This window comes from Homo sapiens, chromosome 8, assembly GCF_000001405.40.
Source record: "Homo sapiens chromosome 8, GRCh38.p14 Primary Assembly".
NCBI classification, from domain to species: Eukaryota; Metazoa; Chordata; class Mammalia; order Primates; family Hominidae; genus Homo; species Homo sapiens.
The window spans coordinates 124,232,131-124,248,839 of NC_000008.11; the positions used below are offsets into that span (position 1 = coordinate 124,232,131).

The window sequence follows — 16,709 nt, forward strand, 5'->3', positions numbered from 1 at the left end:
CACTGTTATATACCAACAATGACCAAGCTGAGAATCAAATCAAAAACTCAATCACTTCTACAATAGCTACAAAAAAAAATAATAAAATACCTAGGAATATACTTAACCAAGGAGGTTAAAGATCTCTACAAGGAGAACTACAAAACACTGATGAAAGAAATCATAGATGACACAAACAAATGGAAAAGCATCCATTTGGAAGAATGGATAGCAGAATCATGGATTGGAAGAATCAATATCCTGAAAATGACCATAGTGCCCAAAGCAATCTACAGATTCAATGCAATTCCTATCAAAACATCAACCTCGGCCAGACACGGTGGCTCACACCTGTAATCCTAGCACTTTGGGAGGCCGAGGTGGGTGGATCACCTGAGGTCAGGAGTTCGAGACCAGCCTGACCAACATGGAGACACCCCATCTCTACTAAAAATACAAAAATTAGCCGGGTGTGATGGGGCACTCCTGTAATCCCAGCTACTCGAGAGGCTGAGGTAGGAGAATCGCTTGAACTCGGGAGACGGAGGTTGCGGTGAGCCGAGATCTCACCATTTCTCACCATTGCACTTAAGCCTGGGCAACAAGAGCAAAACTCCGCCTCAAAAACAAAAAAAAATTGATTGATTGACTGAATTGAAGGAAAAAAAAAAACCCTAAACAGTACTTGGAATTTGAGCTGCCGCCAGGTGCAAGGTCCCATTGCACCACTGAGAGCAGACATACTAAGTGAGGCCATGTAATCTGCCCCCTTCAGGCAGGGTCAGGATGGTGCTGACCTAGCTGCAGCTTTTGTTGTGGAGCACTGAGCAGGCAGTCTGGACACAGTGCACACTGGACCAAGGTCTCATTCACTGGGACCAAGAGCCACCAGAGAGATGCTTATATTTGCACAGGAAAGCATTGAAAATGTAAACAAACATGCACTTCCATCATACCACAAACTTCTAACTATCAAACAGCTTCAAAATTAAAAGAGACGTCCAAATGCCCATCTCCTGCCCTCCCAGTTTGCCATACTCCAAGGGCTGCCCTGGAATTCAGTTCAGAAGCCTGGTCAAGAGACCTTCATAGAACTCAGAGGGGCAAAATGTGATGATTCAGAACTAGTCCCAATTTGTGAAATCCGGTGTGCACTGGAATGCAAAAGGAGATGCTGTGACTGAATATTGAGAGAGAAATCAATTTACCACAGGCTGGATCAGCTCGCTTTGCCTGAGCCTCACTCTGCCCCTTCCCCCAAATTCTACAGACTCATCAGAGCAAAGTATTCTGTGCTGATTCTGGCTGGAGAGCCAGGGAAGTGAAGAACAGAACAGAACAGCAATCTTTATGATCAAACGAAATCTGTAAGAACTCATTCTGCAGAATTTTCCAGGAATTCATCTAGGTGAGAAACTACCAGGGGATGGAGAAAAACTCGGGGTCTTAGCTGGTTTTGTTGCCCCAACAAGCCTGCCTGAAGGACCCACCCCCTGCTGTCACTATTACATTCCCATGTTTAGTTCCTTCATAGCACTTATCACTGTTTGAAATTATTTGTCTACCAGTTTAGATTTGTCTTCTCCTAAGAATATAAGCTCAGTGACAACAGGGACTTTATCTGATTGATTTCCCATCTTATTCATCACTCTAGAACAGCATATAATTTGCTCTGGATAATTATTTGTTGAAGAGATAAATGAGCAAGTGAATAAATATTTTCAGTAGCTTGAGACAGCCCTTGCATAAGAACAGTCCTGTAACCCCATCTGCAGAATCCATTACTGTCAAAGAAAAAGCATAACAACCTCTATTCATCTAATACTTAACAGTTTTCATAGCATTAAGTAGGTGTTATCTGATTTAATCCTCACAGCAAATTTGGGAGATAAGTATTATCATTTCAATTTTACAGGTGAGAAAACTGAGTCTCCAGAATGTTCAATGACATCCTCAAGATCACATAACTGATAAATAGCAGAACTGAACTCAAATAGCCAAGTCCAAGTTCAGTGTTTAGTCTATGCTTGAGAAACAGTTTAAAAGAAATGAGCCAGCTTCACATCCAGATCCTCTCTAATTTATGTATTTACATCCCCCAAGATAGAGTACAACATTATCTCTTTACTCTGGAAAAGATGTGGCCCAGTGGAGAGAGCGTGGGCCAAAGCTCAGACCAGAGCTGCAAGAACCAGTCATGTAAACTTGGAGAAATCTTGGCACCTCTCAGTGGGACCCTGTTTCTTCTTCTTTCAAGTGGGTGTAATAACACTTGACTTGTCTGCCTCACAGTGTGCCACGAGTCTTCAATTTAAAAAGATGAAAAGTGCCACCAAGATGTAAGTTCAACATTACAACAGGATGCTGGGGCTTTTGTGTCCTGGCCCTCCCTGCTTGGAAAGCCAACCATGAAGGGTCCTCAACTCCCCTCACCCACCTTATTACCCTGGTGACTTTGTTTTCCCCATATCTCAGCCTCCCTACAGAGGCCATATATAGAAATATATATTGGTGATAATCACTCATCTTTATGAATATACTAAAGCTACTGAATTGTAATCTTTAAATATAGTGTGTGAATTATGTCTCCATTTTTAAAAAGAGACAATGTCTATGGCCCAGGTAAGAGGCACACCAAGACCTACCTAGGATTGGGAATAGGGAGGAGAAAAATTAATTATAGGAGATTTTAGGGAAGAAGAAGGAGCCAAATATGATTACAGCCCTAAGCCTAGAAATGAGGGAAAATGGTGGTGCCCTTAACAGAAAGAAGGGCAAGCAAGTCTAGGAGACACAGTGATTAGCTCAGTGTAGGGCATACTGAGTACGAGAGTTCAAGGGGCCACACAGGTGCACACGCACATCAGAAAGCTGGAAAATCAGGCCTGAATTTCTGGAAATGGTAAAGAGTTGGGAACCACCTACCTTAAAGTCATGATTAAAGACTAGAGACAAGATGAGCCTTCTCAAGATTGTTTTTTAAAAAAAGAGCCAGCAGAGATTTTTCTCCTATATTTCAAGTCTTCTCTAAATTGGCGAGCTCCACTTCTTGTCAATTTATGGATGCTTTGTGTACAGTTGTATCTGATTAGACCTGGAGTGTGTCCCATCTCATTTTCTAAAGGACTTTCTCTGTTCATCCCGTTTTATAGATCTTGCAATTTACTATATATTCCATATGAAACATATGGCAGTTTACTTCCAATTACAAATATGGTTTCTGTGCCTAACAGTCTACATGAGAAGCAGATGGACTTCAGGCACAGCTATTGACTATAGTTATAATTTGTATGTTCTTAGGGAAATATTTGTTGCTGTGATTTTTCCAAAGCAGAATCATCAAAAATGTAGTTATTTGAAAGCTCTACCTGATCATTTTCTGAATCTCCTGTATGTCTACTTCTGTTATCTCTTTTTTCCTCTTGGGGTTTGGACATGTGGTTCAGTTTTTAGACGATCTATAATTTTTGATTGGATGCCTGACATTGTGAACCAAAACTTGTAGAGGCTCTAGATGATGTTGTTTTTCTCCAAGGAAGATTAAGGTTTTTCTTCAAGCAGATAAAGAGCCAGTAGACCACATTTAGCCTGTCCAGGTTCCATTGTAGGCTTTGTTACTGCTGATCTATTTTAATTCTTCTCTTACTCTTAGAGCATAGTGATTACTCTGAGAGAACTGCTCTAGGGTACAGCCCTTACTCCTATGCCTTGGGCCTCGTGAGGTCTTAACTGACATCTCAAGGTGTTGTTTACCAAGCCTCATCTATCTTGGTAAGACAATGCTATCTCCTCAGCACTGTACGTGGCTGAAATCTCTGCTCACGTCTTCAGCCTCCCTGCTGCTATATTCTTCTGGAAATCTTGGGATCTCACTCTGCACATGTGCAACTGAGAAATCATCTGATGCCTTCAGGGAATCCTTTTGCATATTTGGGGACCCACTTCTCTGTGGTTCTCTCCTCTCTGGCAGTCCCCAACACTGAGGAGACCTCTGTCTACTTAGCACGGTAGGGCAGGGGGAGGGGGGTTGATGCTTTCTGCTTGGGCTTTAGTCCCCTTGCTGAGAATGAAAAAAACATCCTCAGAGCGTAATTACATGTGGCAGATGTGGAGTTCATTTGATTTGCTGCCCGTCTCTCAAGGATCATAGCTCCTGGGCTTCCTGACTGTGTTGATTGTTCTCCAAAGCTTTCAAATGTGTTTTTAAATATTCAGTCTCCCTGGGTGCAGTGGCTCATGCCTGTAATCCCGGCACTTTGGGAGGCCAAAGTGGGTGGATCACCTGAGGTCAGGAGTTCGAGACCAGCCTGGCCAACATGGCAAAACCCCGTCTTTACTAAAAATACAAAAATTAGCCAGGCATGGTGGCACATGCCTGTAATCCCAACTACTCAGGAGGCTGAGGCAGGAGAATCGCTTGAACCCGGGAGGCAGAGGTTGCAGTGAGTCAAGATCGCATCACTGCACTCCAGCCTGGGCAACAGGGCAAAACTCCATCTCAAGAAAAAAAAAAAAATGGTCTCATCATTATGTGGGGCAGGTTAGTGTAATACAAATTACTTCATTGGAACTAGAAACCTGACTCAAGAGAATAAACAGATAGATAAGAATTGGCACTTGGAAACCTAATTTGGGGAGGAGGAATGAAAGATAGGAGAAAAAGAGAAAAGAGGAAAACTAGAATATGACAATCTTATGAAGGCCCAAGAGAAAAGTGCTGGAGTTAGCATTATCAAAAAGAAAGCTAAGATAAGGACATTATCCTTGGTGAGAGCAGAAGGTCATCGGTGTCGCATTTACTAATTGTCCTATGTGTTTATCTCCACCAAATGGTAAGCTTCTGGGGGATGTGTGACAAGCCTTACAATTGTATGCATCGTCACAGAACCATTCTAAACATTCACTAAATGTTCACTCTACAGTTGTTCATGAACTACAGGATTAGGAAAAGTTTCAAATAGCTGAATAGAACGCGTTTGAGAGAGGCTGGGGTAAAGCTGCTGGAAAGGTGTGGTTTGGAGTGTCCTCAGCAGAAGAAGGGTTGGGAGACACTAATTCAGCAGAGCGCCCCACCCCCACCCCACTAGACTATTTATACCCACCAGCAAACGTGCCAGGTGCATAGCATTCAGCTCATGACTCAAGGAGCAGAAATGAATTTAATTTCAAGGATCCCGACTCATACATGGAGAAAAGAAGTTTAACTTGTGCCTTTTCTTCTGCCCTCTACTATCCATGCAAGTAACACCCATAAAAAAAAAAAGAGACCTGTGAGTGAGCAGGCTATGAGTCTATAGGAAATGTAATTTCCTTTGCTTCATCTGTAAAAATATTTTTCATTTGCATTTGGTTGAAAGAATGTCCTGTGCCCACTCGATCCTTTTGGCAACTGGAAATGCCTACTATGGCCCGCTCACATCACCTTGGCTCTCCATCTGAGAGGACAGAGCTTTCCCTTACTTCATTTCACTCCCACTCCAGATCCAAAGGTGCCTCTTCTCATTGTGCCCTCTCCCTTCCTGTAACTACCCAGTCAGTTTCCAGTGTGTATAGACACGTCTAACCTGATGGAGAACTTCACAGATCAACAAAGTCACGGGCAAGTGGAGCTAGAAGGGTCCACGTGGGTGATACTATCTGACCCAACAAAGGGTAGTGTCCTTTAATGATTGTGTTGACTTTTGGAGCCAGGCTGCATTTGAGTCCTAGTTTTGCCACTTTTCATCTTTGTGACCTTGGGTAAACCCTGTAGTCTCTCTGTGCTTCAGTTACATCTTCAGTAAAATAGGAATGATAAGAGCACTTACCTTGTAATGCTGTTGTGAGGATTAATACAGTGCCTGGCTACCCTTACGAAGGCATGAGAAAGCTCACTCTAAGCTATAAAATGATGTAAGTGTGCAGCATGATTGCCTTTATTTTTCTTACTGCCACATCCAGTTTTTAGTCAATTCCGACTTGTGTGGATCTCAGGAGACAGGGAACTGCTAGACTGCCCACCACAGAGCCAGTCAGCATCTGCACTGTGCTGGGTCAGATGTCTCTCCAGCGGTATGGCAAATGCTGGCTGGCCCAGGGATGGGGAGCAACTCTGCCATGGAACTGAAGCCCTCCTCAGTACTGCTTAGAGGGAGACTGTCCCAGAAGCAGCCAGGATTAGAGAAGGGGCCTAGCTGGGGTGCCGGGCAGTCAGAAACAGGGGATAAATCGAGACAGACTCTGTGGAAAAGAAAAGCAACTGCCACCTCCACCTTCCCTCCTCACATACAGTGGATGATCAATGACTCATCTCAAAGGGAACGTTTCTTTGTGAGAGTGCAATGCATCTTCATTAGATTGATTAAAAATTGTTCCTTGCCAACTGAAAGCATGTGTATTAGAGAGTCTGGAATGTAAAAGCAGAAAGGGCTTTGAACACACCTGTGTCCCAACCCTGGCTCTGCCACTTATCAGCTCTGTGACCTTTGGAAAATTGCTTAGCTCCTCTGGTTCTGTTACTTTGTCTATAAAATGAGGATAATAATTTCCATTCCATAGGGTTATTGTTGAATGACAAAGGAGATGGCCTATGTACAATGCTGTGCACATACAGTGCCAGGCTCAGAGGAGGCAATAAGACAATGTCTGCTCCTTCCCTCTCTAAGTGAATCATTATGTCTGAGTGTGCAGGGAGTATTCAATTGCTTGTCAACCTGTCCACCCCGTGGTGTCTCAAGTGTCTCCAGAATTCCTAGAATTGAATGATAGGTGCTCAGAACAGAACAAAACTCGAGAGTGTCTTGCTCTATAAGATTTATAGTTCTGTCCGGGCACGGTAGCTCACGCTTGTAATCCCAGCACTTTGGGAGGCTGAGGCGGGCAGATTGCCTGAGGTCAGGAGTTCGAGAATAGCCTGGTCAACATGGTGAAACCCTGTCTCTACTAAAAATACAAAAATTAGCCAGGTGTGGTGGTGGGCACCTGTAATCCCAGCGACTTGGGAGGCTGAGGAAGGAGAATCGCTTGAACCCAGGAGGCGGAAGTTGCAGTGAGCCGAGATCGCACCACTGCACTCCAGCCTGGGTAACAGAGTTAGAATCTGTCAAAAAAAAAAAAAAAGAAAGAAAGAAAGAAAGAAAGAAAGAAAGAAAGAAAGAAAGAAAGAAAAGATTCATAATTCTATTGCTTTCATTGCCGTAACTCCATATTTTTGAATTTACTGATTTAACTATGAAAGGGATATGTTTTACTTTTACAAATGTGGACCTAGGTATGCTGTCACCAGGTCATAGTAAGTATTTTATCTAGAGTTATTTCCAAAATTGTGAACCTATACAAATTTATTTTACCAAAGCTACCATGTTTTCTGTTTATTTTCATGTCAGTGTTCTCTACCCAGTTAAGATACTTGGGGGCAGAGACCATGAGCCACTGATCTTTGTATTGTCACTGCTTGACTTACTATTTGGCACATATGCAGTACTCAATAAATCCTTTTTTATATATATACTTTAAGTTCTGGGATACAAGTGCAGAACATGGAGGTTTGTTACATAGGTATACATGTGCCATGTTGGTTTGCTGTACCCAGCAACCCGTCATCTACATTAGGTCTTTCTCCTAATGCTATCCCTCCCCTTGCCCTCCATCCCCCAACAGGCCCCAGTATGTGACATTCCCCTCCCTGTGCCCATAAGTTCTCATTGTTCAACTCCCACTTATGAATGAGAACATGCGGTATTTTTTTTTCTGTTCCTGTGTTAGTCTGCTGAGAATGATGGTTTTCAGCTTCGTCTATGTCCCTGCAAAGGACATGAACTCATCATTTTTTATGGCTGCATAGTATTCCATGGTGTATACATGCCACATTTTCTTTATCCAGCCTATCATTGATGGCCATTTGGGTTGGTTCCAAGTCTTTGCTATTGTGAATAGTGTTGCAATAAACATACATGTGCATGTGTCTTCATAGAATGATTTATAATGCTTTGGGTATATACCCAGTAATGAGATTGCTGGATCAAATGGTATTTATGGTTCTAGATCCCTGAGGAATCACCATAGTGTCTTACACAATGGTTGAACTAATTTACACTCCCACCAACAGTGTAAAAGCATTCCTATTTTTCCACATCCTCTCCAGCATCTGTTGTTTCCTCACTTTTTAATGATCGCCATTCTAACTGGCGTGAGATGATATCTCATTGTGGTTTTGATTTGCATTTCTCTAATGACCAGTGATGATGAGCATTTTTTCATATGTTTGTTGGCCACATAAATGTCTTCTTTTGAGAATTGTCTGTTCATATCCTTCACCCACTTTTTGATGGGGTTGTTTTTTTCTTGTAAATTTAAGTTCCTTGTAGATTCTGGATATTAGCCCTTTGTCAGATGGATACATTGCAAACATTTTCTCCCATTCTGTAGGTTTCCTGTTCACTCTGATGATACTTGCTTTTGCTGTGCAGAAGCTCTTTAGTTTAATTAGATCCCATTTGTCAATTTTGGCTTTTGTTGCAATTGCTTTTGGTGTTTTAGTCATGAAGTCTTTGCCCATGCCTGTGCCCTGAATGGTATTCCCTAGGTTTTCTTCTAGGGTTTTTATGGTTTTAGGTCTTAAATTTAAATCTTTATTCCATCTTGAGTTAATTTTGTATAAGGTGTAAGGAAAGGGTCCAGTTTCAGTTTTCTGCATATGGCTAGTCAGTTTTCCCAACACCATTTATTAAATAGGGAATCCTTTCCCCATTGCTTGTTTTTGTCAGGCTTGTCAAAGATCAGATGGCTGTAGATGTGTGGTGTTATTTCTGAGGCCTCTGTTCTGTTCCATTCATCTATATATCTGTGTTGGTACCAATACCATGATGTTTTGGTTACTGTAGCTTTGCAGTATAGTTTGAAGTCAGGTAGCATGATGCCTCTAGCTTTGTTCTTTTTGCCTAGGATTGTCTTGGCTATACAGGCTCTTTTTTTCTTCCATATGAAATTTAAAGTAGTTTCTTCTAATTCGGTGATGAAAGTCAATGGTAGCTTGATGGGAATAGCATTGAATTTGTAAATTACTTTGGGCAGTATGGCCATTTTCATAATATTTGTTGTTCCTATCCACAAGTGTGGAATGTTTTTCCATTTGTTTCTGTCCTCTCTTATTTCCCTGAGCAATGGTTTGTAGTTAACCTTGAAGAGGTCTTTCACAGCCCTTGTAAGTTGTATTCCTAGGTATTTCATTCTCTTTGTAGCAATTGTGAATGGGAGTTCACTCATGATTTGGCTCTCTGTTTGTCTATCATTGGTGTATAGGAATGTTTGTGATTTTTGCACATTGATTTTGTATCCTGAGACTTTGCTGAAATTGCTTATCAGCTTAAGGAGATCTGGGGCTGAGACGATGGAGTTTTCTAACTATACAATCATGTCATCTGCAAACAAAGACAGTTTGACTTCCTCTCTTCCTATTTGAGTAACATTTATTTCCTTCTGTTGCCTGATTGCCCTGGCCAGAACTTCCAATACTATGTTGAATAGGAATGGTGAGAGAGGGCATCCTTGTCTTATGCCGGTTTTCAAAGGGAATGCTTCCAGCTTTTGCCCATTCAGTATGATATTGGCTGTGGGTTTGTCATAAATAGCTCTTATTATTTTAAGATATGTTCCCCATCAATACCTGGTTTATTGAGTGTTTTTAGCATGAAGGGGTGTTGAATTTTATCGAAGGCCTTTTCTGCATCTATCGATATAATCATGCGGTTTTTTCATTGGTTCTGTTTATGTGATGGATTACATTTATTGATTTGTGTGTGTTGAACCAGCCTTGCATCCCAGGGATAAAGCCAACCTGATCATGGTGGAAAAGCTTTTTAATGTGCTGCTGGATTCGGTTTGCCAGTATTTCACTGAGGATTTTTGCACCGATGTTCATCAGTGATATTGGCCTGAAGTCTTCTTTTTTTGCTGTGTCTCTGCCAGGTTTTGATGTCAGGATGATCCTGGCCTCATAAAATGAGTTAGGGAGGAGTCTCTCTTTTTCTATTGTTTGGAATAATTTCAGAAGGAATGGTACCAGCTCCTCTTTGTACTTCTGGTAGAATTTGGCTGTGAATCCATCTGGTCCTGGGCTTTTTTTGGTTGGTAGGCTATTAATTACTGCCTCAATTTCAGAACTTGTTATTGGTTTATTCAGGGATTTGACTTCTTTCTGGCTTAGACTTGGGAGGGTGTATGTGACCAGGAATTTATCCATTTCTTCTAGATTTTCTAGTTTATTTGCATGGAGTTGTTTATAGTATTCACTGATGGTAGTTTGTATTTCTGTGGGATCGGGGTGATATCCCCTTTATCACTTTTTATTGTGTCTATTTGATTCTTCTCTCTTTTCTTCTTTATTAATCTGGCTAGTGGTCTACTTTGTTAATCTTTTCAAAAAACCAGCTCCTAGATCCACTGATTTTTTGAAGGGTTTCTCATCTCTCTATCTCCTTCAGTTCTGCTCTGATCTTAGTTATTTCTTGTCTTCTGCTAGCTTTTGCATTTGTTTGCTCTTTCTTCTCTAGTTCTTTTAACTGTGATGTTAGGGTGTCGATCTTAGATCTTTCCTACTTTCTCTTGTGGGCATTTAGTGCTATCAATTTCCCTCTAAACACTTTTTTAGCTGTGTCCCAGAGATTCTGGTACATTGTGTCTTTGTTCTCATTGGTTTCAAAGAACTTATTTATTTCTCCCTTAATTTCGTTATTTGCCCAGTAGTCATTCAGGAACAGGTTGCTCAGTTTCCATGTAGTCGTGCGGTTTTGAGTGAGTTTCTTAATCCTGAGTCCTAATTTGATTGCATTGTGGTCTGAGAGACGGTTATGATTTCCGTTCTTTTGCATTTGCTGAGGAGTGTTTTACTTCCAATTATGTGGTCAATTTTAGAATAAGTGCTATGTGGTGCTGAGAAGAATGTATATTCTGTTGATTTGGGGTGAAGAGTTTTGTAGATGTCTATTAGGTCTGCTTGGTCCAGAGCTGAGTTCAAGTCCTGAATATCATTGTTAATTTTCTGTCTCATTGATCTGTCTAATATTGACAGTGGGGAGTTAAAGTCTCCCAGTATTATTGTGTGGGAGTCTAAGTCTCTTTGTAGGTCTCTAAGAACTTGCTTTATGAATCCGGATGCTCCTGTATTGGGTACATATATATTTAGGGTATTAACTCTTCCTGTTGCATTGATCCCTTTACCATTATGTAATCCTCTTCTTTGTCTTTTTTGATCTTTGTTGGCTTAAAGTCTGTTTTATCAGAGACTAGAATTGCAACCCCTGCTTTTTTTTTTCCTTTCCATTTGCTTGGTAAATATTTCTCCGTTTCTTTATTTTGAGCCTATGTGTATCTTTGCACCTGAGATGGGTCTCCTGAATACAGCACACCAATGGGTCTTAACTCTATCCAATTTGCCAGTCTGTCTTTTAATTGGGGCATTTAGCCCATTTACATTTAAGGTTAATATTTTTATATGTCAGTTTGATCCTGTCATGATGCTAGCTGGTTATTTTACCCATTAGTTGATGTAGTTTCTTTATAGTGTCGATGATCTTTACATTTTGGTATGTTTTTGCAGTGGCTGGTACTGGTTTTTCCTTTCCATGTTTAGTGCTTCCTTCAGGAGCTCTTGTTAAGGCAGGCGTGGTGGTGACAAAATCCCTCAGCATTTTCTTGTCTGTAAAGGATTTTATTTCTCTTTTGCTTATGAAGCTTAGTTTGACTAGATATGAAATTCTGGGTTGAAAATTCTTTTCTTTAAGAATGTTGAATATTGGCCCCTACTCTCTTCTGGCTTGTAGAGTTTCTGCTGAGAGACCCACTGTTAATCTGATGGGCTTCCCTTTGTGGGTAACCCGACCTTTCTCTCTGGCTACCCTCAACATTTTTTCCTTCATTTCAACCTCAGTGAATCTGACGATTATGTGTCTTGGGGTTGCTCTTCTTGAGGAGTATCTCTGTGGTGTTCTTTGTATTTCCTGAATTTGAATGTTGGCCTATCTTGCTAGGTTGGGAAAGTTCTCCTGGATAATATCCTGAAGTGTGTTTTCCAACTTGATTCCATTCTCCCCGTCACTTTCGGGTACACCAACCAAACATAGGTTTGGTCTTTTCACATAGTCCCATGTTTCTTGGAGGCTTTGTTCATTCCTTTTCATTCTTTTTTTTCTAATCTTGTCTTCACACTTTATTCAATCTCTGATATCGTTTCTTCTGCTTGATCGATTCAGCTATTGACACTTGTGTATGCTTCACAAAGTTCTCGTGCTGTGTTTTTCAGCTCCATCAGGTAATTTATGTTCTTCTGTATACTGGTTATTCTAGTTAGCAGTTACTGTAGCCTTTTATCAAGGTTCTTAGCTTCCTTGCATTGGGTTAGAACATGCTCCTTTTGCTCAGAGGAGTTTGTTATTACCCACCTTCTGAAGCCTACTTCTGTCAATTCATCAAACTCATTCTCTGTCTAGTTTTGTTCCCTTGCTGGTGAGGAGTTGTGATCCTTTGGAGGAGAAGAGGCATTCTGGTTTTTGGAATTTTCCGCCTTTTTGCACTGGTTTTTCCTTATCTTTGTGGATTTATCTACCTTTGATCTTTGAGGTTGGTGACCTTTGGATGGGGTTTTGGTGTGGGCATCCTTTTTGTTGATGTTGATGCTATTGTTTTCTGTTTGTTAGTTTTCCTTCTAACAGGCCCCTCTTCTTCAGGTCTGCTGGAGTTTGTTGGAGGTCTACTCCAGGCCCTGTTTGCCTGGGTATCACCAGCAGAGGCTGTAGAACAGCAAATATTGCTGTCTGCTCCTTCCTCTGGAAGCTTCATCCCAGAGGGGCACCCACCAGATGCCAGCCAGAGCTCTTTCGTAAGAGGTGTCTGTCGACCCCCCTGGGGATGTGTCTCCCGGTCAGGAGCCACGGGTGTCAGGGACCCATTTGAGGAGGAAATCTGTTCCTTAGCAGAGCTCGAGGGCTGTGCTGGGAGATCTGCTGCTGTCTTCAGAGCTGACAGGCAGGAATGTTTAAGTCTGCTGAAGCTGCGCCCACAGCCGCCCCTTCCCCCAGGTGCTCTGTCTCAGGGAGACAGGAGTTTTATCTATAAGCCCCTGACTGGGGCTGCTGCCTTTCTTTCAGAGATGCCCTGCCCAGAGAGGAGGCATCTAGAGAGACAGTCTGGCTACAGCGGCTTTGCTGCGCTGTAGTGGGTTGGTTCTGCACCCAGTTCGAACTTCCCAGTGGCTTTGTTTACACTGTGAGGGGAAAACCGCCTACTCAAGCCTCAGTAATGGCAGATGCCCCATCCCCCAGCAAGCTCACGTGTCCCAGGTCGACTTCAGAATGCTGTGCTGGCAGCGAGAATTTCAAGCCAGTGGATCTTAGTTTGTTGGGCTCCATGGGGGTAGGATCCACTGAGCAAGACCAGTCAGCTCCCTCGCTTCAGCCCCCTTTCCAGGGTAGTGAACGGGGTTCTGTCTCACTGGTGTTCCAGGCGCCACTGGGGTATGAAAAAAAACTCCTGCAGCTAGTTCGGGGTCTGCCAAAATAGCCGCCTAGTTTTGTGCTTGAAACCCAGGGCCCTGGTGGTGTAGGCACCTGAGGGAATCTCCTGGTCTGTGAGTTGCGAAGACCATGGGAAAACCGTAGTATCTGGGCCAGATAGCACCGTCCCTCATGGCACAATCCCTCATGGCTTCCCTTGGCTACGGGAGGGAGTTCCTCGACCCCTTGCACTTCCTGGGTGAGGCGACCCTGCTTCTGCTCACCCTCCATGGGCTGTACCCCCTGTCTAACCAGTCCCAATGAGATCAACCAAGCACCTCAGTTGGAAATGCAGAAATCACCCGCCTTCTGTGCTGGTCTCACTGGGAGCTGCAGACCAGAGCTCTTCCTATTCAGCCATCTTGCCTGGTCCATCCAATGCTCAATAAATCTTAAAGCGAACTTGGAACTGAGCTGTTCTTCCTACCTAAACTCTCTAGTTATTTAAAAGTCAAATTCAATATGACCTCCCACACAATGGTTGACTATGACTTGGGATAAATTGTTTTATGCCCTTGAAGCAGCCAAAATAAACAACTCATCATTAATAAAAATGCTCATAGCCAGGTGCAGTGGCACATGCTTGTAATCCCAGCATTTTGGGAGGCCAAGGCAGGAGGAACATTTGAGGCAAGGAGTTCAAGGCCAACCTGGGCAACATAGCAAGCAACATTAGCTGAGTGCAGTGGCACCACCTGTAGTTTCAGCTACTTGGGAAACTGAGGTGGGAGGATCTCTTGAGCCTGGGGGGTTTGAGGATACAGTGAGCTATGATTGTGCCACTGCACTCCAGTCAGGGTGACAGAGTGAGATTCTGTTTCAAAAATAATAAATAAATAAAAAGATGCTCACAAGACAGGTGAAAAAAAGATCCCAGACCTTTTGGGATAATTCCAAAGTAGATTCTTAGATTATTTTTTCACCCACCTTCCTTTCCAAAATATCTCAACATAAGCTTTCAGGAAATTTCACTGTCTAATAATAACAAAAACAAAAAAATACAGCGGTTTCCATCTATGAAATCCTTACCAGGCACCCAAGCAAAGTGCTTTCCATGGATTATTTGAATCCTTGTTGCAGCTTCACAATAGGATCAAAGAGAAGGCAAGTTCTATGTGCTTTGATGCCTAGCAAGGCAGCTGCCCAGGGTCCCTTAGCTAGCAAGCCACATATCCAATCCAGAAGGTCAGACTCCAAAGCCAGGACTCTCTGCCACTGCACCTACCTTCCTCCCAGCCTAGCATTTGGGCTTCCTAAAACCTATTCCAAAGATTTCACTTCACACGTAAGTTTTTTCCTTCCATGTGCCTTTTGCTTCAGCCAGGAGGAGCTACTTGCTCTTTAACTTACACTCTACACTTCCCAAACTCTGCCATGGCTTAGGAAACACCTGCTTCCTGGAGTGCTTTTCCCATCTTCTCTGCATATCCAATCCCACCAACCTTCCGGGTCAAACACCATCTCTTCCAGAAAATCTTCCTTATCACCCTGTACTCACCACCACTGCACCCCAAGCCCCAACAGGTGTCTCCACTCCCTTCTCTAAACTGTCAGAGTGTTTTCTCAGCACTGCTCCTACAGCACTTCACACCTTGTCCCTGGTTCTCAGTGATGTGTAGAGGTCCCATCTCCACTTGATGGTGCTCACCTTGGAGGCAGAATCCAGGTAGGATCCAGACTCATCTCCCCACAACACCCAGGACAGGAGATGGTGTGGTGGAAGCCACTCCCGTGGCAGCCCCGTGATCCGGAAGGATTTATCTGACAAGCAAACCCAGGCAGATTCCCTGCCCCCTCCCAGATTTTCTCACACCGGCCAACTTAATTGATTTAATGGGCCTTTGTGGGACTCACCAACCAAGCATAAAATGGACCCACCTGCAGCCCGGAGCCACCCAATCAATCAAAGGGAGACAGAAAACCGAAAATGCTGCATACGAGTAAAATAAATAATGGCCAATTAGTCACCATCTGGGCCTTGCTGTCAGCGGACAAAACCCACAACAATCCCCATTTCACTTCCTGCCTGGTCAGATTGCACAATGAATTCTCAACAGAAAGGCGGGAACAAGGAGTCTCAACTCCTTGTTTTAAAATAGGATGTGCCTGTGAATTTGCTTTGAGGAAATTTCATCAACTCAGCTGACATTTGTTAAGCACCTACTGCATACCTGATGCTCTGCTGGGCACTGGAGATACAACAGTGACAAAGACTCCTCTGCCAAAGAGCTGAGCATGTGAATAACCTCATAAAGAAATGGGTACCTGGGCATGGTGGTACACACCTGTAATCCCAGCTACTTGGAAGGCTGAGGCAGGAGAATCACTTGAACCTGGGAGGCAGAGGTTGCAGTGAGTTGAGATCACGCCACTGCACTCCAGCCTGGCGACAGAGCAAGACTCCATCTCAAAAAAAAGAGGGAGAGGGAGAGGGAGGGGAAGCGGGGGGGAGGCATAGGGGGAGGGGGAGAGGGAGAAAGGGAAGCAGGCCGGTTGAGGTGGCTCACGCCCATAATCCCAGCACTTTGGGGGACTGAGGCAGGTGAATCCCTTGAAACCAGGAGTTTCAGAACACCTGGTCAACATGGTGAAACCACGTCTCTACTAAAAATATAAAAATTAGCCAGGCATGGTGGCACACACCTTTAATCCCGCCACTTGGGAGGCTGAGGCTGGAGAATCACTTGAATCCGGGAGGTGGAGGTTACAGTGAGCCAAGACCGCACCATTGCACTCCAGCCTGGGCGACAGAGCAAGACTCCATTAAAAAAAAAAAAATTAGCCGTGGTGTCATGTGCCTGTAGTCCCAGCCACCTGGGAAGCAGAGGCATGAAAATGACTTGAACGCGGGGGCACAGGTTGCAGTGAGCTAAGATCACATCACTGCACTCCAGCCTGGGTAATAGAGTGAGACTCTGTCTCAAAAAATAAATAAATAAAATAAATAAATAAGAAAAAGAAAAAAAAATGGGAAGCAGAAAAGATAGGCAGCTTCATCTTCATCATGTAGCCTGGGAAATGCCAGCTCTGCTCTTGGCCTCAGACTTGGTGTTTTCACCTGAGAGATGGAATGATAACCAGGTTAGGGTGAGGAGGAACTGAGAGAACATTTGCATAAAGACCTGCTTCCTGGTAAGTGTGTCCTCATGGTCTGCTCCCTCCCATCCGTGCCTCAGGGCCCATAAGGATAATTTCTCCCTAACA

General features: G+C 43.3%; 1 long non-coding RNA gene across 1 annotated transcript in view, besides 2 other annotated features; it reads right to left on the reverse strand.

Annotated features, from left to right (window-relative positions):
* Positions 1–15,268, reverse strand: part of LOC101927588 (uncharacterized) — a 54,708-nt gene extending 39,440 nt beyond the window's left edge. Inside the window, exon 1 of the long non-coding RNA NR_125420.1 lies at positions 15,154–15,268. This is a non-coding gene — a long non-coding RNA (uncharacterized LOC101927588). The remainder of the gene's footprint in view (positions 1–15,153) is intronic.
* Positions 14,738–15,032: a silencer, noted in NCBI's record as "tiled region #14070; K562 Repressive non-DNase unmatched - State 7:EnhWF". NCBI's record gives its function as "represses a minimal TATA promoter and a strong SV40 promoter by Sharpr-MPRA in K562 cells {active_cell/tissue: K562}" and the evidence as "EXISTENCE:reporter gene assay evidence [ECO:0000049][PMID:27701403]".
* Positions 15,426–15,555: an enhancer, noted in NCBI's record as "active region_27879". NCBI's record gives its function as "activates an Ori minimal core promoter by ATAC-STARR-seq in GM12878 lymphoblastoid cells {active_cell/tissue: GM12878}" and the evidence as "EXISTENCE:reporter gene assay evidence [ECO:0000049][PMID:35858748]".